At 34.2% G+C, this 23540-nt stretch overlaps 1 long non-coding RNA gene across 1 annotated transcript in view; it reads left to right on the top strand.

Annotated features, from left to right (window-relative positions):
* The window catches only part of LOC124901589 (uncharacterized), a 204867-nt gene that overhangs the window by 52819 nt on the left and 128508 nt on the right, over nt 1-23540 (top strand). The window lies entirely within an intron of this gene.

The following is a 23540-nucleotide window of genomic DNA, read 5'->3' as shown; positions in this document are numbered from 1 at the left end:
GTGTCCTGATTACTAATACTGATACCTATTTAATAATTCAATATAAAGAAATATTTTAAAAATAATAATAGACACAACTTAAGTAATTCTCTGAGAATTTTAGTCATTACCACTAGTGTATACAACTCATTTTCCTTAATAAGTTAACCCTATTCTGTTTCTAATGTGATCTGTTTTCCACCTTTCCTATGTATCTATCTATCAGTCAATCATGAAAGAGGTTTTAACTACTCATGCACTTAATATTTATTGAACACTTATCATGTTCTACGTAATGTGTTAAGGGTATAGTATTAAATAATACACATCTAGTAGCTATCTTCCATACCCAGGAAGTTTTACAGGTTTTTTTTGTTACTTGCTAATAATAACAACTTTATCCTGATAATATTGCTCAGCTGCTAGATAAAATTTCTGTAATGACTTCAATTAAAAAGCCTCTATTTTTATTATAAGAGAAAGACATATTAGTTAATAATAACTTAACCCTAAAAGTATATATATTGTAAAGTAAAGGTCTCTCCCCACTAAATATTATCCCCCATAATAGTGCTGCTATGAATTTAGTTTATACCCTTCCAGATAGCTTATAAAAATATAGTAGCTACATTTTACATAAATGAGATCATACTGGCTCACACTGAACTTTGTGGTCTGTATTTTTTACTCAAAATTATATTGAATACTTTAAACATTTCAATATGCTTTTATCCTGTGAATTACAGCCTTTTCATTTTCACTGACTGTATAGCATTCCACTGCCTGGATCGATCATATCGTGGTAGATGTATTTGGGGCTTTTTCTCGCTTTTCAATTTCTTAAACAGTGGTGAAATATAACACTGAATTGTATTGAGCCCCTAAATCCTTGCTAATATTTGTCATTCTCTGATTATGAATAAAGTAGAGCAATTTTTCTCATAAGTCAGATCTGTCATCCAATATGTGGCCCAGCACTTGATTGGTCTGCTGGATTTCTGTTGTAAACCTACGTCATTGCTACCCCTTTCTACATTCCCTCTGTATTCTTTCAGGTCAGTCTCAGCAATAAATTTTCCAGGATCTCTCTCCTAATGGTTCTAAGTTATATTCAACTAATGAGAGGCATTTAAGGGATATTAGCTATTAGAACTGAAATCAGAATTTAAAATTAAGTGGCTTTGGATTGACTTATTTTGCTGAAATTAATCTATTAATACAAATCAATTTGATGACCCAACTGATTGTGTTTGAAGTCCTGATTCAGTTTGGATTTGTGGGCTACCATTTAATATTTGTAGCAATTCTGCTGAGCTCAATCCATATGGAAGTTTTTCAAATGACAATTTTCAAATAGCTGCCATAAAAACTACCACAGGAAGCAAATTTTAAATTCCTCAGTAATTTCTGTACCTTTTAGATAGTAGTTTCTATACTTTCTCCTTTAAGCTTCTTTTTTCCACTGTTAAGTTTGTGTTTATCAGTTGATGTTAGTGACTGAGCATGAAACCTAGCTGCAAGTTGCATTTTCATCTCAATTTCATCTGTGAAGTGTAGTAAACTTGGCCACTATGGTTTAATCTAGTCAGTAAACCCTGGTAAGATAAGAGTTGGTTTAAACCAAGCCAGAAGGTAAAATTCTCAAACAAGTAAAATAATTTTATCTAAAATGATACTATGTATTTGAACCAGCCAAACATAAATCCTAGAAATCTGTTGGACTAAAATAACTAGACCACGCTAGAGTCTTGATCTTGGTCTTCCCAGACTCTAGAACTATGAGAAATAAAAACACAAATTACCCAGTCTCAGTTATTTTGTTATAGCAGTACAAAAAGCATATAGAGACATTTATTTTTCTGAGTCCAACTTTGGAAATTTCTGATCAATTTTGATATATTATTCTTACTATTGACACTTCTCTACATATTAAATAATTTAGTCTCTCTTTTTTTTTTTTTTTGAGATGGAGTCTCGCTCTGTCGCCCAGGCTGGAGTACAGTGGTGTGATCTTGGCTCACTGCAAGCTCCGCCTCCCAGGTTGATACCATTCTCCTGCCTCAGCCTCCTGATTAACTGGGACTACAGGCACCCGCCACCAAGCCCGGCTAATTTTTTGTATTTTTAGTAGAGATGGGGTTTCACCATGTTAGCCAGGATGATCTCGATCTCCTGACCTTAGGATCTGCTCTCCTCGGCCTCCCAAAGTGTTGGGATTACAGCATAAGCCACCTCCCCCAGCTAACTTAGTCTCTCTCTCTCTCTTTTTTTTTTTTTTTTGAGACGGAGTCTCGCTCTGTCCCCAGGCTGGAGTGCAGTGGCGTGATCTCGACTCACTACAAGCTCTGCCTCGTGGGTTCAAGCGATTCTCCTGACTCTATCTCCCAAGTAGCATGCACCACCATGCCTGGCTAATTTTTGTATTTTTAGTAGAGTGGGGTTTCACCACGTTGGCCAGTATGGTCTTGATCTCTTGACCTTGTGATCTGCCCACCTCGGCCTCCCAAAGTGCTGGGATTACAGGCATGAGCCACTGTGCCCAGCCAATTTAGTCTCATTTTTAAATGTTAAAAAGTGAAGAAAAGCTTTGAAAATAGGAACTTGGATAAGAATAATTAAAGGAACACGATTAAGGGACATTTTAATACTGGCATGACACAAGTCATTCAGTGCAAGAATGACAGTCTCAGGAGGATGGCCCATTGTCTTGTGCTGTCACAACTGTAGATATATATAGTGGCCAAAGGAATCACAGTATAGGGGTTAAGAATCACAATTATAAAAATATGGAATGTTATTATGCAGTGTGATAGCCACACAGAATGGCTTTAGATTTGATATGGTTTGCCTGTGTCCCCACCCTAATCTCATTTTAAATTGGAGCTCCCATAATCCCCATGTAGGAGGGACCTGGTGGGAGGTAATTGAATCATGGGGGTGGGTCTTTACCCTGCTGTTCTCCTGATAGTGAATAAGTCTCATGAGATCTTATTGTTACATAAAGGGGAGTTCCCCTGCACATGCTCTCTTGACTGCTGCCATGTAAGACGTGACTTTGCTCCTCATTCTCCTTCAGCCATGATTGTGAGGCCTCCCCACCCATGTGGAATGGTGGGTCCATTAAACCTCTTTCTTTTATAAATTACCCAGTCTCAGATATGTCTTTATAGCAGCATGAGAACAGACTAACGCAAGGTTAATAAGTTGAAAATCTGAAAAACAATATTTGAATAAAAATAGAGAGTCATAGTACAATTCTGCAAAACTTAGGGTGTGGTCAAATTACTGAGTATTGTTCATTTTATTTTGTTGTTATTTTCATCTTGTACTACATTACAGTCAGAGAATGTATCCTCCACAAGGGCTGCATATTGCAGGGTATTGAACTCTTCCATTGTTCCAAGGGTCCTATGAGTGGTGGGAAACAAATGCTAACTCTCTGTAGAATACTTGTTTGTTAATTTATTTGTGTGTTCCTGATCTCTCTAGAACTATAAAAAATGTATTTGTCTTCCATTGGTATTGTGTTTTTCAGCTTCTCCTGGATTCTATCAACTGTATATTTTAATTATCTTATGTATTTTGATGTTGATATTTCATGTAAGGGATACATGTTTTTATATTGTCTTTTAATATTGTGCCCTTCATAAATAACAAATACAGTATAATTAGTGCATGTAAGATAAATAAATAAATATAGCTTTTGCATAAATTAAAGTTTTCTCTTATTGCTGTTTTTTGATCCACTTTCTTGATAAATGTAGTGGCTCTATTGTCAAGAAGACTGCCATAATGATAGAATGTATGCACATGAATGTATGCTGTTGAATCATTTTGCATATACTGACATATTCAATAATCTTAGTTGGATGTCTTTGTTGGGGTTTAGAACATGCTACCCCAGAATAAGACACCTTGGCATACTGGATATTTTAAGCTAAAGGAATCTGAGAAAACGGCAGAAGCAGAAAGATCTCTCTGACTTTCCCCTGCCCTTCTCCCCTAAATCAGGTCATGAAACTTAGAGAGGGTTTTCTGACCTCCCTGGGGCAGATCATAGGACCTTCTTGTGAAAGATGCTTTTCTATACCTGGAGTAAAGGAACAACCTTAACTCTGAAGATGAAGAGTCGGAAAAGAATCTGAACAGGCAGACTTTGCTATTTCCATCAGCTTATTACTATTAGATCACATCTTTTTGCCTTATCATATTTCTCTATGACTATCTACTCTTCATCAAACCTACTATTAAAAAAACTCAAGTTTACTTATTTTATATCTTCATTTCTTTTTGAAGACTCCCATGTCACATAAAACTTATACTAAATAACTGTGTATGATTTTCTGTTGTTAATCTATCTTTTGTTATAAGGGCCTCAGTCATGAACCTAGAATGGGTAGAAGAAAATGATATTTTGTCTCTCCTATGTCTTCATCATTTAGAAACACATTGGCAAGTGAAATATATAGGAGTATGTGTATGTGTATATGTATATATACATATAGGACATATAAATACATATATAAATACACATATAACATATAGTGCCATTTTCAATGATTTTCAGGATATGATATATGTATTGTAACTAGAAATCTTATCTCTGAAGGTATATGTGTATTTGTGTTAAAAGTTTTTGGAATCCTGGAGGAATGTGTGTTGAGTGTATTTTTTAGGGAAAATGGATACATTGTATTTGAGATTTTGTGTCTGACTTGTTTTGATCATCTTGACCTGCCATATCTATAAAGCACTGTAGATATTCAATTAAAATCTATCTTGGAAGTGTCAATCTTTTACACTTCAGGGGTCAGGAAATGTAGAGGTAAGCAAAGTGTCTGGATTAGTATAGTGGCTCTTTCTAAAGACTGCTGAGACAATTTAAAGACTCATGGATGATAAAACAGAATAACGTAAATGTTATTCATTTTCCAATTTCAGATTCAGTTTTTGTGCTGTTTCTTCTTTATTCTGGATTTCTCAGGGTAGTATACACAGTTAGTTAGATGTTCTATATAAGAATTGAAAAAGCATTAGTTGTTCTTAAGTCAAAAGAACAGTTTCCATAACCACAAGTATCTTAATTATGTATGTCATTTTTTCTTTATAGTGGATGTAATTAAGATCAAGGCTTGTTCTAAATGGTAGGTTATTAGAAATGACATAACATTTTATAAGAATCACGTCATTGAAGACTGGGAGGATTTAGGTATGTTCTTGATTTTAGCCAAGTCACTTGGAGTATCTCAGGGACCTTGTGTTTTGGTGAGTGGAGCTGTAAAACATGAAAATTGGAATTGATCATTCTATGGATTCTACCAAATCTCTATTTTATGAACATTATCACAATCTTTATACTAATTCTATAAAAACGATAGCAGTATTTCACAAATGAAAAAATTCAAGCTTTGAGATACTACATAACCTGTGTGATCTACTAGGAACCCGCAGGTGCCAGAATTTAAATCTACTCCTGTTCGCCATCCGAATCCTATGCTCAATACACTATTCATTACTAATTTTATAACTTAACTGCCCATAATTTTGGGACTCGCCATCCTTAGCCCTATTTATTCTTATCATTCCCATTCTTTAATATTTGTTTAAATAAGAGAAACTAATGTACAGTGGAGTTTCATTGTTTTTGTTGAAACCTCAATCATTAAACTTACTTTGATTATTTAATTTTCCTTGCAGTGATTCAAAATCAAAAAACCAGAAGTGACTAGATTGAAAAGTGACCCCATCAGTCTTTTCTCCTTTCAAATAACAAGGAAATAGCTTTAATTTTTTTTCTTTAGCTCCATTGATGCCACTTGGCGACAGAGGTACAAATAACTAGATATGACTGTTCTTTGAATAGCACCTTTTCCAAAAGACAAAATTTAGGAGTTAAATAACTTACTAACATTTGTTTTAGACATTTAAGTGTTTTTTATTGTATTGGAGGATAGCAATAACCTTTCTTTAGTTTTGTTTTCATTCATTTCTGTAATTGTAAAGACCACCTACATGCTTGAAACTGATAATTTATGCTCTAGCCCAAAACATTTTTAAAAGACCAGGCTTATACATCCAGTTGCCTAATTGTCATCTTCACTTAGATCTCTCATATCAAAATATATTTAACATTTTACTGTGAAGTAAAATGTACACATAGAAAAGTGCCCCATCATGGTAACCACTATCCTAATGCTCTAATTTTACAGCAGTTATTAATATTATATATATGTATATAACTGATGTTCTTATTAGTTTAATGTCTACTTATATAAGCTGTATGCTTCATCAGTACAAGATTTTATTCATTATGTATCATAGTATCTAGCAGAAAGCCCGACTGTAGATCAGCTGTATAATATTATTGAGTAATGAAGGGAAATAGATAAAATATAACCAATTTTTATTATGCACATGTGCAAGTTTGCTGATATCTATAAAATTTGATGGTTAATTGAAGGTTTAAGGAGAAATGGAAAGTTAATTTATGTCAGTTATTGTACCCATATTTTCTTGTGGCTTTTCTAGCATTATTCAGCTAAATACAAAATATTCTTTCTTCATATGTAACAGATAAATAGTCCAAACAGACTTGCAGTATTTTATTTTCTTTTGAATAAAGAATGGGAAGATGAAGATCTTGTAGTTCTAGTTTACATAACAACCAGGCATAAATATTCTTACTAAATAATGTCAGGTTGACATTGGAAGGTCATTCTTCTGGCACAGTTAAATTTCTTATCCTTTCTTGATTTGTTATTTCTTTTTTTCTTCTTCTTCTTCTTCTTTTTTTTTTTTTTTTTGGCAGCATCTTGTTCTGTTGCCCAGACTGGAGTGCAGTGGCAGGATCTCAAATACTTCTTCTTTCTCTCTTAACACTCTTCTTTTTGCCCATCTTCCTTTCACCTTCTCTGTTTTCTCCTACTGTGTACCAAGCCTTCAGACCTGTTGGCAGCATCCTGTGGGTCTTGCTTAGCCACTGGTGACCTTCGGGGTTGATGAGGAATAGAACAACATATAGTTGATTGAAACCAGATTGGAACTACTGGCAGGTATCTTGTGTGCATAATTACTTTTTAGAGTTCTTTTTAGTTTTTGGCATTTCTGGTGAATTGTCTCTATTGTGCTAATGTATTAGTTCCTTATTTGAACACTTATGCAGCTGCAAGTCTATAACTTAGAAAACAAATCTCATGTACATGGATTTTTAGTCTTCTAAATTTGAAGAATTTTCTTCAAAAAACATATTTTATCTTTATGTCTTCCATTTATTTGTATAGATTTAGGGGGTACAAGTGCAATTTTGTTACATGTATATATTATGTAGTAGTAAATTCTGAAAACATCACCCAAATAGTGAACATTGTAATCAATAGGTAATTTTTCAACCTTTATTCCCCTCACAACTTTTGGAGTCCACAGTTTCTATTTTTCCAATCTGTATATCCACGTGTACACATTGTTTAGCTCCCACTTACGTGTGAGAACATACAGTATTTGACTTTCTGTTTCTGAGTTGTTTCACTTAGAATAATGGCCTCCAGTTCTGCAAAAGACATTATTTTATTATTTTCTATAGTGGAGTAGTAATCCATGGTGTACACGTGTGTGTGTGTGTGTGTGTGTGTGTGTGTGTGTGTACATACCACTTTTTTAATCCAATCATCTGTTGATGAGCACTTAGGTTGATTTCATATTTTTGCTATTGTGAATAGTGCTGTGATAAACATATGAGTACAGGTAGGTATCATTTTGGTATGATTTCTTTCCCTTTTGTGTATATAGCCAGTGGTGAGATTTCTGGATCAAATGGTAGTTCTAGTTTTAGTTATTTGAGAAATCTCCATACTGATTTCTATAAAGATTGTACTAATTTTCATTTCCACCAACAGTGTATAAGCGTTTCCTTTCTCTGCATCCTCGCCAACATCTGTTGTTTGTGGACTTTTTAGTAATAGCCATTCTGACTGGTATAAGATGATATCTCATTGTGGTTTTAATTTGCATTTCTCTGATCATTCGTGATGTTCAGCATTTTGTCATATGTTTATTGGCTGAAAAGCATAGTTTTAAATGGGTCTCTGAGTAAATACACAAAATATTCCATGATACTACTGTTCAGGCAAAATGTCACTAAAGCAAATAAAAATATAAAATGAAAAAAATAAAACAAACTTTGCCTTCTGTTTTTTCTGCCTACACAACCTCTTTAGTAAAGAGTAAAATATCATATATTCTATATCTGCCATATTTTATATGCTTTCTGTTCAGTGAATAACCTACAATTATATGTGAAACTGTGAAAGGTAAAATAAATTTATTTTACATATTAAGTAATGCGTGAATGTAAGCATGTTTCAAGAAAACTACAAAATATATTTTATAGCAATTTTAAAATTTTATCCTTAGTAATCTGTGTGGCAGAGTACACACACACACACACACACACTATCATTTGGTAATAATGCCATCTCTTTATCTGATATCCTAATACTATATTACTATAATATCACATTTTATAGATGTCCCCATGATCTTAAGAACACTGCTAAGTGAGGGATTATAGATATTTTCATGTGTGTCACCTTGATGCATACATTAAAAATTCTAACTCATTGGTAAGATTATTTGAAGTACCTTTTCTGCAACCAAATCTAATTAAAAGTAAAATTCACAGTATATGGTAGATTGATATAACTATGCATTAAAATGACTGCTATAATATAAATGTATGCATGTGTGTTGATATGTGTTTATATACAGATGTGTAGTACATGTGCATATAACATGGAGAGCTTAGGTTTTGCTTATGACCATTCCAATTAAAATGATATCCATGGTTGTTAAAGCAGATTGTCATAAACCTATGAATGGCTTTCCTTGACATTATTTTGGCTTGATGCTCTCGTGATGCTCCCAAAAGTAGATAAAGAAGGTGCTATGCCATACATTCTTTTCCTGGCCTAGTACCATTGCCACAGAGACCTGCTGGCCAAAGATAACCTTAGCTGTGGGTACTACAGAAATGAGAAGCAGCATCATGAGGAATGTAGGCATTTTCACTATCTCCCTTTGTCTTTCTTATGGTTTTCTTTAGTAATACAGTTTTAGTGTGAATGAGAGAACAGTTTTCTGGACTTTATGTGACTGCTTTTTCAAAAACAATAATTTCGACTTTAATTAGAAAAAAATGACAGAATGTTCAGAAATTTTTATCTACTGCTTAGAAGTAAAACAAAGGCAAACCCTATGTAGTATTTATTTTTTGTATTGTTTTAAAATCTTTTATGCCATGTGTTAAGTGGTGTGGGGGGTAAAAGCTATTAAGGGAATATCCCAAAAGCTGGCAGTGTAATTCAGGTTAGAGAAGGAAAATGTTAGTTCTTAAAAAAATACCTTGATAAGAATTCGGTTAGTTAGTGTTTCTAAAGCTAGACTTTCATTTTAAAAAGCTCATTGTATGACTCTCATAAAAACATAGGATGAACATATGCCAAGAATTTATTCAACTAATTAATGAGGGAGCTGGCAGAATGATCAAGCTGGTGCTAAGGAGAATTATAGGCAGAAAGCTATACAGGCACTAGAGAAAGATTGTTGGGGAATGATGGCTAGGTTAGGTATGTGACTGCTTAATGCCTTCCAGGGCAATGGCCTGTAACAGTTTGGGATTGTCTTTGCTACTGAACAGAAAGTGCTTGCATCTCAATCATACAAAAAGCTACAAGTTAAGTTGCAACTTACCTCCTTTTGATTAATAATAATTTTAAAATTAATTATAAATAATCATAGGTGCATTTTTTATATAATTAAATAATCAAATAATGTAACAATGCTCTACCGTAAAACTGACAGGATATTCTGCTTTTGCTTTGCCTTATTTCTAAGTTTTAAATATATGTATTTTTCTTAACAGAACAGTCACTGATGTGTAAAAAAGCACTCTTTAAATGTTTTAAAACAAGGAGAAAATGTCTTAGGAGGTGACACCCTGGGTACCTGTGTTTAGGGTTAAGATTAGAGAACTCCTTTCTCTACCCAAGAAGGAAGGGGGAGTCATAATAGTGAGAGGGCTAGAAAGGAAATGAGTCAGGGAGAAAGTATGAGACCAAGCACTGCATGGGGGAAGGGTCAAGAGAAACCTATAGTTGTCACATGACCAGAAGGAATTTTGAGAAAAGAAATGTCTAAGTTTTTTAAAAATGTATTTAACTTTATTTTCTCCAAATAAAGATTCAAATGCTTAGCATGTTTCTCAACATGGCCTCAGAAGATTTTTCTACTCTAAATCTGGTTTCCCTTCACTTTAATGATTAAATAAATGTTGACCAATAAAAGATTAAATATAAAGAAACTTTAAAAGTTAATAATTAAAACACAACCCAATAGGAAGAAAGACAAAAGACATGAAGACGGATTGCCAAGAGGAAGAAATAAGATTTCCCATAATAAAACATGTTCAACTTACTAATCATAAAAAATTTACAAAATGAAACCACAATGAGGTAACATTTTATACTCCCCAGCTTGGCAAAAATGCATCTCTGACAATCTCAAACATTGGTAAAGATCTAGAGCCCTGGAAATTCTAGTATACTGGTGGGGAGCATAAATTAGTACTTGGGAAAGCAATTTGGCCATATCTATTAAAGCTGATGATGTGCTTTTGTTGTACAAACCAGCAATTCTGTTCAAGGTATACATCCATTCTCTGGTATGTACCACCAGAAGTCACATAAAAGAATGTTCACAGCAACATTGCATTTTTCTATTTCAAACAAAGATGCAACTCAATAAGCGCCAGCTGGAGAAGAGAACATTTGTGATATACTCATAATAGAATAATATTTAGTAGTGAAAAAACTCCTACGGCAATGAATGTAAAAAAAGGTGACAGAAGAATACATTCAGTTTAATTCCATTTATTATTCTTTAAGGATACATACATGGAGATAAAGTGATGAAGGACAAGAAGGCTATGATCAACACAAAGTTTAGTAAAGGGGTTCCATCTGTCAAACAGGGATAAAGACAGGTTCAGGAAAGAGCACATGGTACCTCAAAGGAAAGACAATAAGGTGGGTGGTAGGCACACAGGGGTTTGTTTATTATTATTATTATTACTCTTTATACTTTATATAGATATATACTTTAGCATCTATATTATATGTGTATATATCTATATTCCATTGCATGTATGAAATTTTTGAAAAATTCAAACAGCTTACAAGAAAAAATTACATATAATGTAATAACAAAAAACATTACGTATAATGTTCCAAATGGTGAATCACAGCCTGGAGGCTATTAATTTACCTCCAGTCTATCATTGACCCCTGGCTAAAACTGCTGCTTTGTTTCTGTTCCCCTCACACTTGAGAGTAAGATATTGTCCTGCTCTGACAATACTTACCACATTTTAGGGGCTTGATCCATGCTGACAGAAAGGATAAACAAACTAACCTGACTTGTATTTCTAGAAGAACTAGGAAAACTGAAGATTTGAGTCACAAGTACGCAGTAGTCATTTGGCTTTTCTGATTTCATGGTTTCACACATTTTTGCAAACCTACAGCCTGTTCCCTCTGATCCCTTCCTCCACCCTCCTGTCCTGGTGCTTAAGGCTTGAAATCGTTCAGTGATGAGATCAACCTTGGAAAATGCCTTCAGAAATGTTGTTTTCTTCTGCTTTCTGACGTGGCTGCTTCAAAGGTAATAGGGGTCGAAGCCACTCTGCCCTTGTTTTCTGCATCCAATTTGGGGAACATAGCCACCAGCCTGTCGCTTCACTGTACTCAGGAGACCACACAGTCATCCATTTGAATCACCTCACCCAACCCAGGGGCTGAGTGATTTAACTCCATCCTTGATACTTATCACTGTCTGAGATGAATCTGTGGTGACCTCCCAACACTTTCATGCAGGACCTCATGCCTGGCTCCTGGAATGATCACACGATCTGTTTGTATTTTTACAATTTAATGTGCCACTTTCATGCATGAGGTTCACAGATGAAAGTAAAATCACAGCCTCCCAACTAAACAGAACTAAAATTCAGAGAGGTGTGAAAAATGGTAGGGAACAAACACTCCATTTTTGGAATATGTGTCTTCTAGAATTTATTCTCCTTTATAATTAATATAAAATCTGAGATTTCACCAATGCCTTAAGAGACAAACATACAAATTGAAATCTGAAAACAATAATTACATGGAACAAAGTGGAGCCTGACACTTAACAAAAGCTGTTAAATGAAAAGTATCTCTAGAAAAAGCAAAACTCTACAGTAAAATCAAACAAAACAGAAAGGAGCTTTGGTACTTTTCAATAATAGGAGACAAAAATAAGTTTAGTGTATTATTAAATTCATGTAATATAAAAACATCTATGTGGAAGTGTTGAATTAAATTGATAAAACAGAACCAAATCTAAAATAGAGTTTGAAGGCAAAGAAGATCTTGCTTTCCTCTTCTTTGATTGTAATAAAACACCAGAATTTGGAACAACAAGTATTTTCCCAACTAAATTTCCTTCTGGTCTGTATACACCCAGCAGGATGGCACTCTGTATTTTATCTAATTTTAAAATGGCATAATTTGATTTTTAGCAGCACAAATATCTAAGATTTAAGATTTTTTGGTGCTGCGTAGTAGATGACATAATCCGTCTCTCTTGCCTTCCATCACTCTTTAGTGATGGAAATTCCACTATGCTTGTGAATGCTCTAGGTGTGCTTTATTTTTATTGTTAATTTTTAAAGCAGAAATGGGCTGAATTTCATAGGTAACATTCATGTATTAGTACATTTATGTATTCAACAACAATTGTTGAGCCCAGTTATGTGTTAAGCATGTACAAGTTGCTGGATAAACTATGTTCAGTGAAAGAAAGAAAACAAAAAGAGATTTTGTAGAGTTTTGTTGAGGTCATAGAGTGTGGAAGTCAGGAAATAATAGGTAAATATGTAGTTATAACTGTAATGAATGCTGTAAAAATGAACAGAGTCAGTGATAGTGAATAATCAATTAAGCGATCTATTTTAATGGTATGGTTAAGGAAAGCCACTCTGAGAAGGAAGTTTTTCCACAGAGACCTGAAGCAAAGACTATCCATGAAGAGAGAGAAAGTGTCCCACTCTATTAGTTTCTTAGCACTGCCGTAACAACTACAAACCTGATGGCTTGAAACAACAGAAATGCATTCTTCCACAATTCTGGAGGTTAGACATCCCACAGGAATGTGTAAGCAGTGTTGGTTATCTTTGGAGGCTGTGAGGGAGAATGGGGTCCATGCCTCACCAGTAGCAGCCTGCAGTTTGGGCAGCCTGATGTTCCTTGGTTTGTAGATATATCACTCCAGTCTCAGCCTCCATCTTCACAGTGTCTTCTGCCCTGAGTATCTCTGTGTTTCAAGTCTCCCTCTACCTTTCACTTTTAAGAAACCTGTCATTTTTAGGACCCATCCTAAATCCAAGATGAATTATTTTGAGATTCTGAATTATATCTGCTAAACCTCCTTTAAAAAGAAGGGACACTTTGCTGGTCCTAAGGGTTAGGGCATGGGCATATCTAGGGGACTGATAGGTGGAGAATTCAAGTCGTCACACTAGGCAGAAGGACTAGCATGTGCACAAATGATGATGTGGTAAAGAGCTTGGTGCATGAAAGAAATGGAACATTTTGGGTGATAGGAAGAATGAGTCATAATTCAGTTGATGTGATAAGCAATATTATTATATTGCCAGCTATGCCAATGAATAAAACTATAGAATAAGCTCCAAGTGGATTTTCAGAAGAATAAGAAATACTTCGGGCTTCCTAAGGCCTGGAATGAGGGTTGAAATTCTCTGGGAAATCCATCTGGCATTCTGATTACTAATAACTGTGATTAATTACAATAGTATCAAATGTCTTGTGACATTGAGCTTACTCTAAGTGGATATGCTACAAACTTACATGTAAATTTTCTCCGAAGTTACCACTCACATTTTTCTTATGTATTCTAAAAGGGTCATTTCTCCACGCCCTTGTTTCTCATGTGTTGTGACTATATTCTATTTCTGAGGCCAATGCCTAATAGTATATTTCCACATCACATCTATGACAAAGAGAGTGAACCTAATTTATAGTGCAGTATTCCTTGGGTTGTATAAAAATTTCAAGTCTTGTCCTATGATGTCTAATATGTGGTACTACAGTGATTTTGTGTAGTTTATATATCACCACTTTGAAAAGTCTGTTTAGGTCATGTCTCTAAGATATGCCAATGTAATTCAGTTTAAAGTAGAATACAGATACCCTGTTTTGGAGTCTTATTGAATATGAAAAAAAATCCTGTACAAGTAAACAAATTCTATTTGCATTAGTTTTGTCTCCTATTAAGGAATTCTCTTTAAACCCTTTCCTCAATGAGTGCCACTTTATACAATGGAAGACAACATACAAAAGGCAGTCCTGTGCTACTAGATTATAGCTGATGGCTTCATTAAGCACAAATAAAAAAGAGACCTACTTCAACCTCTTGAATGTTACTGTCCTACTTCCCTAGCCAATAATGTAGTGCTGAGATTACTGTTGTCCCAGTAGCAAACTTGCCTCCAGCTAGGTTCATAATCATTCTCGGGCATCTCTTTATTAATGTCAGCCACTAACCTCAATGCTGAAATACTAGTAACACTAATAAACCCACTTTAGGAACTTTTCTGATCAAATGATAGTTGTTAAATATTTCTGAATAGTTTCTATGAGCACATTCACTGCTTATAATTTCTTCTGAAAGTCATTTCTTCAACAGCAGCATTCCTGTAGGAAAACCAATTAATTACCAGTTTAAGTGTTGAGAGTTTAACACTGAGAAAGTAATTGGAGAATGGAACAGAACAAAGTTAATTTACTCTAACATAGACTGGGTACCCTTTTATTTTTATTTTTGTGCCAAGCAAAATGGGAATAAAGATTAAAAAATTGAAATTGGTCTTTACATCAAGCAGTTAACTTTTAAAAACATGATTTAAAGGAACGAAAAATCATGTACTTTCATGAGGATTTTCCTCACATGTTTATTTGAGCAAATGTGAGATACACATTGAAGGACTTTGGGGAGACATGTAATAATTTTTGATAATTTAGTTGGGAAACGGAAATGACAATTTAAAAATTAGAAGCAGAGAAGATAATTCACTTATTCATCCACAAGGCTCGTAGATAAATGGAAAAGTGAAAATACAGCTTCTTATAAGGGAGAAATTGGGATGTACCTCACTGCTAAAATGAAACCTGACCCAAAAAAGGCAGTTTAGTAAATAAGATTGTTTGTTGAGGTGGCATTTAATTATGCCTAAGAAAATAGCCATGCCTTATGACGAATGTGAGGTTATGTAGAATCATTTACTGAATACTATTTTGTGGAAATATTTTCTAAATCATGGTCATGTTAGATTTATTTTTTCCATTAAAATATCAAAAGCTCCTCAGCAATTTCTGTCTCTTAAAAGAATGATAAGTTATTGGTTTGTAGCATTTTTAATATTTAACTTGAAGCTTGTTTGCCTGTTGTATTTTATCTTGAATAACAAGAAAATTAAGTGATAAAATATAGTTTTCATCTTATCTCTATTTTATTACTTTCATTTTTTTCCCTTTTGGATAAATAAATGCGTGTTTGTGGTGTGGGGACAAAATATAGAGCAGGAAAAAAGAAGCAGCAAAAGGGATACTCCTCTCATTCAATAAAGCCCTTTTAAACAAATAATGTTATAGTCATATGAAGGTCAAACTAGTCTTACTTTTTGATCTAAGAAACAAGCAAGAGCATGAAGTCTTTTTTATTAATATCTTTTATAGAAAAGTTCAGAAGATTTTCATTTACAAGTAATTTCGTTTTAAAAATCATTTAATGTTAAAGGTAATAAGCATTGTTATGTCATAATAGACCATATAAAAAACCATGTTGTGAAAAACAATTCTTATATGTTTGTGAATTTTCCTTCTGATCCCTGAGTAAAGTTACCTAGTTTCCCTTTCTGGCATAATTGATTATTACTCAGTGTACTCCTGAAAGTGAAGGAGAAAATTTCAGTTCCATGGTATCCTTTCTCTCATCTGTCCCATTCTCATTCTTCTAGCATCACTTTTCTCTTGGGATTTAAAAATAAATTAAAACTTTTTATACCTCTGACAGCTATCAAATGTCCTGTTCAGCAAGATAATAACACAGGATTTGCCATGGTTTGCGTATATATTATAGATTATTCTCATGCCTTTATTTTGAACTGTCAAAGAAAAATTGCACTCGAAAGTTAAGCAGGCAAGTAAGACTTTATCCAAGACTATTGTAATAGGGGATAGAGATTGAACTCAACCACTGAAATAAAAGGCTTGGGAATTTTTAGGTGCTGCTTGAGCTAGTGGAAAAGTACTGGGAGAGTAAGTGAGGGAGGTTAATCACTGGGATTAGGCCATCTGTGTTTGCTAATTGCCAAATATGAAGTTAGACTCATAACCTCTCACAGAAACTGGAGCACTATTTTTCTTGATGATTGCATTTCAAAGGGATGACTCCCAGGTCCTTGAAAAAGACATTCCCGGGGTTATAAAACTGGCAAAAAGTTGGGAGAAGATTTCATCTCACAGGAGAGAAAGGTTGCATGTTTTCCAAAGTAAATGATCTGTGAAAAAGGAGATTTTAAAGAAAGAATCATTACTGGGAATAAAGAATAATAATTCATAAAGGAATTGACTATAATCTTAAATTTGTTTGCACCTAATAACATAGCTCCAAAATTTATAAAGCAAAAATTGACAGACCTAAGGAGAAATAGACAAATCCATAACTATAGAAGACTTAGACATACTTTTATCACTATTTGATAATCAGTAAGATTTTTTAGAGCTGTCTGAGCTGACTAGTATAATAATGAAAATAGTTTACCTCAAAATAATGCAGATATGATATCTTCAGAGGCTTAGGCTTAAGAATTACTTATCTGATATCTTCAAGTCCAACACGACTTTTCTTTATAGTAGGATTAATCTGGATTTTCAGTGGAAGAATCCATTTTCTCAAAAGATTTGGCTTGTATTTATTAGATAATACACATTTTTTATACCACCTTATACCAGGGAATGCATTCAGAATAACAACAAAGTCAGCTAACCATAAGTTTTTGGCCATAGCTATCACCAGCATCAGCAGAAATACAGTCAGTCCTTCTCAAATATCTTCATTTTGGTAGGACTGAATATTTCATATCTGTTCCGTAATTACTTTGACTGTTTTGGCTACCTTGAAACACTTTCCCTCTTTTTTTTCTCCATCATCCCTTCTTATATTTGTTTTGTTTACTACATGTATTAGGATCAGTTTCAGCTGCATATAACAAAAGAAAGCCAACAGCATCCTCTGAATTTCTTCTAGCCATGAATCAGGGGTTGGGGTGGGGAATAGGAATGTAACACCTGTATGTGTAGTTTTTGTTCATGATAGGTCATTTCCATTAGATTGTAATCCCACTGGATGAAGGACCTTTCATCTCTTTTTACCTCTAGATATATAATACAAAATAGTGCCTGGAACATAATAGGCACTCAATTGGCAGTTTCTTAATAAATGAAATAGAGAATAAAGTGAGTTGATTCTGGAAACACAGATAAAGGTCATTTTGAGTGTTTTTTTTTTTTTTTTTAAGAAATATCAAAGAAAATAAGCTATTCTCTGTAGGTAGTGGAATTGAGATTCCTACATGAGACTTGATAAGCTTTTTGTCAGACTCGTCATATTTTTTTGTCTGTTTTTTCAGTCTAAACATTTTTTAACACTAATCACATATCATTTTATAGATGGTGAAAGGTTTAATTAATAAAAAATGATTACTTTGAAATCCTTTGAATTGAAAAAACACTTAAAGCTTTACTGTATTCTTAAGGCTAGTTTATTAATAAAGACACATTACTTTTATAGAAATGGCTAAAAATAAGGCAAAAATATTTAGGCAAGATGAGAGCAAAATAGGAAGTGCCACTTTTAGACCATCAGACCTCATGAGAACTCACTCACTATCACAAGAACAGCACGGAGGAAACAGCCCCCATGATCCAGTCACCTCCAACCAGGTCCCTCTCTTGACATGTGAGGTTACAATTCAAAATAAGATTTGGGTGGGGACACAGAGCCAAACCATATCAATCTCCCTCAGAGATTCTGATTTAATTGTTTTAGGTGTAATCTGGGCATCTACATTTTTTTAAAAAAATCATTAAGTGATTCTAATGTTCAGCCAAGTCTAGTACTTATTGTTTTAAGCCTCTCTCTGGTTGATGTCACTTGTAGCTTTAATTAGTATATGTAAGTAATGAATGTGTATATGTATATTCTAGGCTTTGGAAACTTTCAGTATATAGTTAAATGACTATTTTAGTTTTCAGCACATTTGAGATCTTGCAACTGTCCATGAACATCACACCTGTACTAACATGTGGCATATGTGATAGTCAATTTTATGTGTCAACTTGACTACAACCCAGTGTGCTCAGATTAAACATTATTTCAAGGTGTGTTTATAAGGGTGTTTCTGGATGAGATTTGCATTTGAATTTACTCAGTAAATTAGATTATCTTCTCCAATGTGGGTGGTACTATCCAATCTGTTGATGGCCTGAATAGAACAAAATGGTAAAAGAAGGAGAAATTACCTTATTTTTATTTTTAATTTTACTACCTGCCTGCTTGAGCTGAACCTGTCTTCTCCTGCCTTCTACCAGGATATACACCATCAGCTCCCCTGCTTATTAGGCTTCAGACTTGAACTAGAATTACATTGTCAGATTTCTTGAGTTTCCAATTGCAAACTGCAGATCATGGGACTTCTCAGCATCCAAAATTGCATGAGCCAATTTCTCACAAAATGTGTGTGTTTATCTATAGATATAGATATTTGTTATGTTTCTTATTTGTTATGTTTCTCTGGACAAACCTGAAAAATACTGTATAGTTCACTGTAACCAAAAATATTAGAAGTGATTAGAGATAGATCTAGTAGTCTTTTTATAACTTTTATTTTAGTTTCAGGGGTGCAGGTGCAGGTTTGTTATATAAGTAAATTGTGTGTCATGGGGGTTTAGTGTACAGATTATTTCATCACCCAGGTAATAAGCACAGTAGCACAGTGCCTGATAGGTAGTTTTTTGAATCTCACCCTCCTCCCATTCTCCACCCTCAAATAAGCCCCAGTATCTGTTGTTCTTTTCTTCGTGTCCACTTGTACTCAAAGCTTCCACTTATAAGTGAGAACATGCGATATTTGGTTTTGTGTTCCTATGTTAGTGCACTTAGGATAATGGCCTCCAGCTTCATCCATATTGCTGAAAAAGGACATGATCTCATTCTTTTTATGGCTGTCTAGTATTCCATGGCATGTGTGTACCACTTTTTGTTTAACCAGTCTACCATTGATAGGCATTTATGTTGATTCCATGTCTTTACTATTATGAATAATGCTGTGATGAACATACATGTACATGTGTCTTTATGATATAATAATTTATTTCCTTTGGGTATATACCCAATAATGGAATCACTGGGTCAAATGGTAGTTCTGTTTTAAGTTCTTTGAGAAATCTCCAAACTGCTTTCCACAATGGCTGAACTAATTCACATTCCTACTCACCAGTGAATAAGTGTTTCCTTTTCTCCACAACGTTGCCAGCATCTCTTATTTTTGAATTTTTATGATAGCCATTCTAACTGGTATGAGATGGTATCTCATTGTGGTTTTGATTTGCATTTCTCTAATGATGAGTTATGTTGAGGATTTTTTCATATGCATGTTGGTCACATGTTTATCTTCTTTTGAAAAGAAGTCTGTTCATGTCCTTTGCCCACTTTTTAATGGGGCTATTTGTTTTTTTTCTTGTTAATTTGTTTAAGTTCCTCATAGATTCTGGATATTAGACCTTGGTCAAATGCATAATTAGAAATATTTTCTCTCATTCTGTAGGTTGTCTGTTTATTCTGTTCATAGATTTTTTTGCTATGCAGAACCTCTTTAGCTGTTTATTCTGTTCATAGTTTCTTTTGATGTGCAGAATCTTTTTAGTTTAATTAGATCCCATTTGTCCCCTGAGCCTAACCTTGGTTGGTGTTTGGAGTTCTGCAATATAGAATGCAGCTTCAAAAATTGTTGACTTATGGGAAAGAAAGAAGTAGTCCAAGAGAAAAGGAGAACTCTCAGAAAGGAAAAGACCAACAGAAGGTTTCAAGAGAGCAAATTACAGAGAGGGCAACACTTAAGCTTATTTTTTCTACTAAAAGTTTGGCTCCTTACTCTCTCAATCTCTTTGTTTCCTGTGATATCATTACATGAGAGCTTGGCACCATAGAAACAAAATGAAGCTGCTGTAAACCTTTCCTGGAGTTTACATTTCACCCCAGAAAGTGTTTCTGATAAGGTTAAGATGAGGAAAAAATGAGTTACTAAGTGTGAATGAGTCTATCTGGTATAGCACTTGACAGAAATTAGGGGCTTGTCAATGTGAATTTGCCTTTCTTGAAAAAATACCTATAGACAGCTCCTCTCTGCTAATCTTTTGGCCAGTAAATTCTAAAATTCAGTAATTAAATGTCTTCCAATACATACATAAGAGAACTATAGTTTCCTCTTTCCCCACTCCATTCTCACCAAATTCTTATAAAACATGCTTTAGATTGTCTTATAGGATTTCAAGGTAATGAGAAAGAATTTTCAGAAATACACATTAGATCATTTTTTTCCTCTGCTGTCAATTCAAGTTCATTAAAGTTTAATGCAGTTCAATTATAGTATTACACTTACAACATTGTTTTTCCCAAGCCTGATTCCTTAGGCCCTTGAGGATGCCAGCTCACTAACTGAATGTGCTTTTTCTTCCCTAAAGAGCACAAAACAAAACCCTCTATAGTATACTATTATGATGATCTAGAATAATTCTCATTTCCTCTGGGGAAAAAAATACCCATTCTCAAACATTAAATTCTCCTCTTGGGGCATCATACTAAAATCTTTGACATTTCTAAATTATGGGAAAAGGGTATTTTAGTGAATATAATATGTTTTTGTGATTCTGCTAATTTAATATTTTCTAAAAAGTTAGGGAGGGAAATTTCAAAACAAATAGCTAATCTACCTTAAAATATCTAAGACCTAACAGTAAGTTATAATTGGTTAGCATTTGTTTCCACACTGTTGATAAAAATAGCACTGTGTGTCTGTGTGTATAAAACCAAATAATTAAAATAAAATTTGTCCTAAGAAAAGAATAAATCCATTGTATTTAAAAGTAAAAAAGTTGTTAGTTTGATTTTACTTAATTTGGAGTTAAGCTGTCATATTGAACATTGTGTAATGTTGGTTGCAGAAGAATTCTGCAATCAAGCTGAAATTATCTGTAATTCCTTATGATCATTTGAAACAGCATTATAAGGATCCTCAAAGAGTAAATTAACCTATACCACCCACTCGAGGTATTAGCATTGTTAATCATCACAGAAGCTATGACAATTCCATCAACAGAATTATCTATTTGATTGCCAGATTAACTGATTAAAATATAGTAAAAAAGTGGGTTGTCTGTTATCTTTGTAAACCACTCTCTGTTGTTAGGTCATAAAAGGCCCTAGAGATGGTGAGAATAAGCCATACTGAGGGAAAAATGCAATCACCTAATTGTACAGAAAGGTGATATGACTTGCCCAAGGTCGTGTAATAAGTTAGTAACAAAGCTAGAAATGGAATCTATGCCTCCTTACTGTAATCAGGGATGGTGCTGTATGTAATAAAGGTCCCTTTAAATTACTATAGAGAGGAAAGAAAGAAGTTAGGAAGATGTAACTTTTATTCTTTACTTTTCTGCAATTCTGATAAATAAACCATAAGTACTGCTTCATAAATGAATTTGAGACAGTGTTTTTGCTACTATGTTTTTCAAAACATTGTAGACAAAGGGAATTTTGTCCTATTTAAAAAGACCCAAGTCACAGAATTCTTAATTTAGAAATTTCAAGGTATTAATTAACATATGTATATATATGTGTGTGTGTGTGTGTGTGTGTGTGTGTGTGTGTGTGTGTGTGTGTATAACAACTTTTTGTATATAGGTTCTGCCAGGTAAACTGCAGGAATTGAGTATGTCAGATTTTGGTATACGTGGAGATCCTACAACCAATCCCTACATACACCAAGGGATGACTATAGTTACGTGTGGATAAACTCCCCTTAATAAAATGTCTTATGTTACTAAATTTTGAAGAATTATGAAGATAGCTATTTTTATATATTCCTTTTGTCATCTAAATACTCCAAAATTATTTTTAGTTTAAGGCATCCATTTGCTAAAGGCTAAAATAAGAATTTTGTTCATTGATTTCCTTTAACTAAAAAATAAAAAATAAACTTTGTTTCTTTTCTTTAGGCAATGTTTTATTTAAATTATAAGAGAAATGTGATTAAGTGGTTTTATTATTTAATAATTGTAAAATGGAGTTCAAATGTATTTAAAGTAGTATAGAGGCCGGGCGCGGTGGCTCACGCCTGTAATCCCAGCACTTTGGGAGGCCGAGGCGGGCAGATCACGAGGTCAGGAGATCGAGACCATCCCGGCTAAAACGGTGAAACCCCGTCTCTACTAAAAATACAAAAAAAAAAAAAATTAGCCGGGCGTAGTGGCGGGCGCCTGTAGTCCCAGCTACTTGGGAGGCTGAGGCAGGAGAATGGCGTGAACCCGGGAGGCGGAGCTTGCAGTGAGCCGAGATCCCGCCACTGCACTCCAGCCTGGGCGACAGAGCGAGACTCCGTCTCAAAAAAAAAAAAAAAAAAAAAAAAAGTAGTATAGAATCATTATTCTATAGACAATCTCAGTAATGAGAAACCGTAAATATTCTTCCTTGAAAATATACAGGCATGCCTCAGACCACTGCATAAAGCAAATATTGCAATAAAGTGAGTCACACAAATTTATTGGTTTCCCATATTTACACTACACTATAGTTTATTAAGTATGTTGTAGCACTATGTCCTAAAAATGTACATACCTTAATTTAAAAATATTGCTAAAAATGCTAATATTCATTTGCACCTCCAGTAAATAGTAATCTTTTTTGCTGGTGGAGAGTCTTGACTTAAGGTTGATAGCTGCTGACGAGGGTGGTGGTTGCTGAAGGTTGGCGCAGCTGTAGCAATTTCTTAAAATAAGACAACAAAGTTTGCTGCATCAGTGGATTCTTCCTTTCACTAAAGGTTTCTCTGTAGCATGAGATGCTATTTCATAGCATTTGCCTCACAGTAGAGTTTCTTTCAAAATTGGAGTCAATCCTCTCCAACCCTGCTCTTGCTTTATCGACAGTTTATGTAATATTTTGTAAATTATTAATGGTCATTTCAACAATATGCTCAGCATCTTTACTAGGAGTAGACTGCATCTCAAGAATCCACATTCTTTGCTTATCCATAAGAAGCAGCTCCTTATCCATATAAATTTTATTGTGAGATTGCAGCAATTCAGTCACATCTTCTGGCCCCACTTCTAATTCTA

Source organism: Homo sapiens, chromosome 7 (assembly GCF_000001405.40).
Source record: "Homo sapiens chromosome 7, GRCh38.p14 Primary Assembly".
In the NCBI taxonomy this organism is placed as follows: domain Eukaryota; kingdom Metazoa; phylum Chordata; class Mammalia; order Primates; family Hominidae; genus Homo; species Homo sapiens.
The sequence above is the reverse complement of the archived record's forward strand: the minus strand, read 5'-3'. Positions and strand labels throughout refer to the sequence as shown.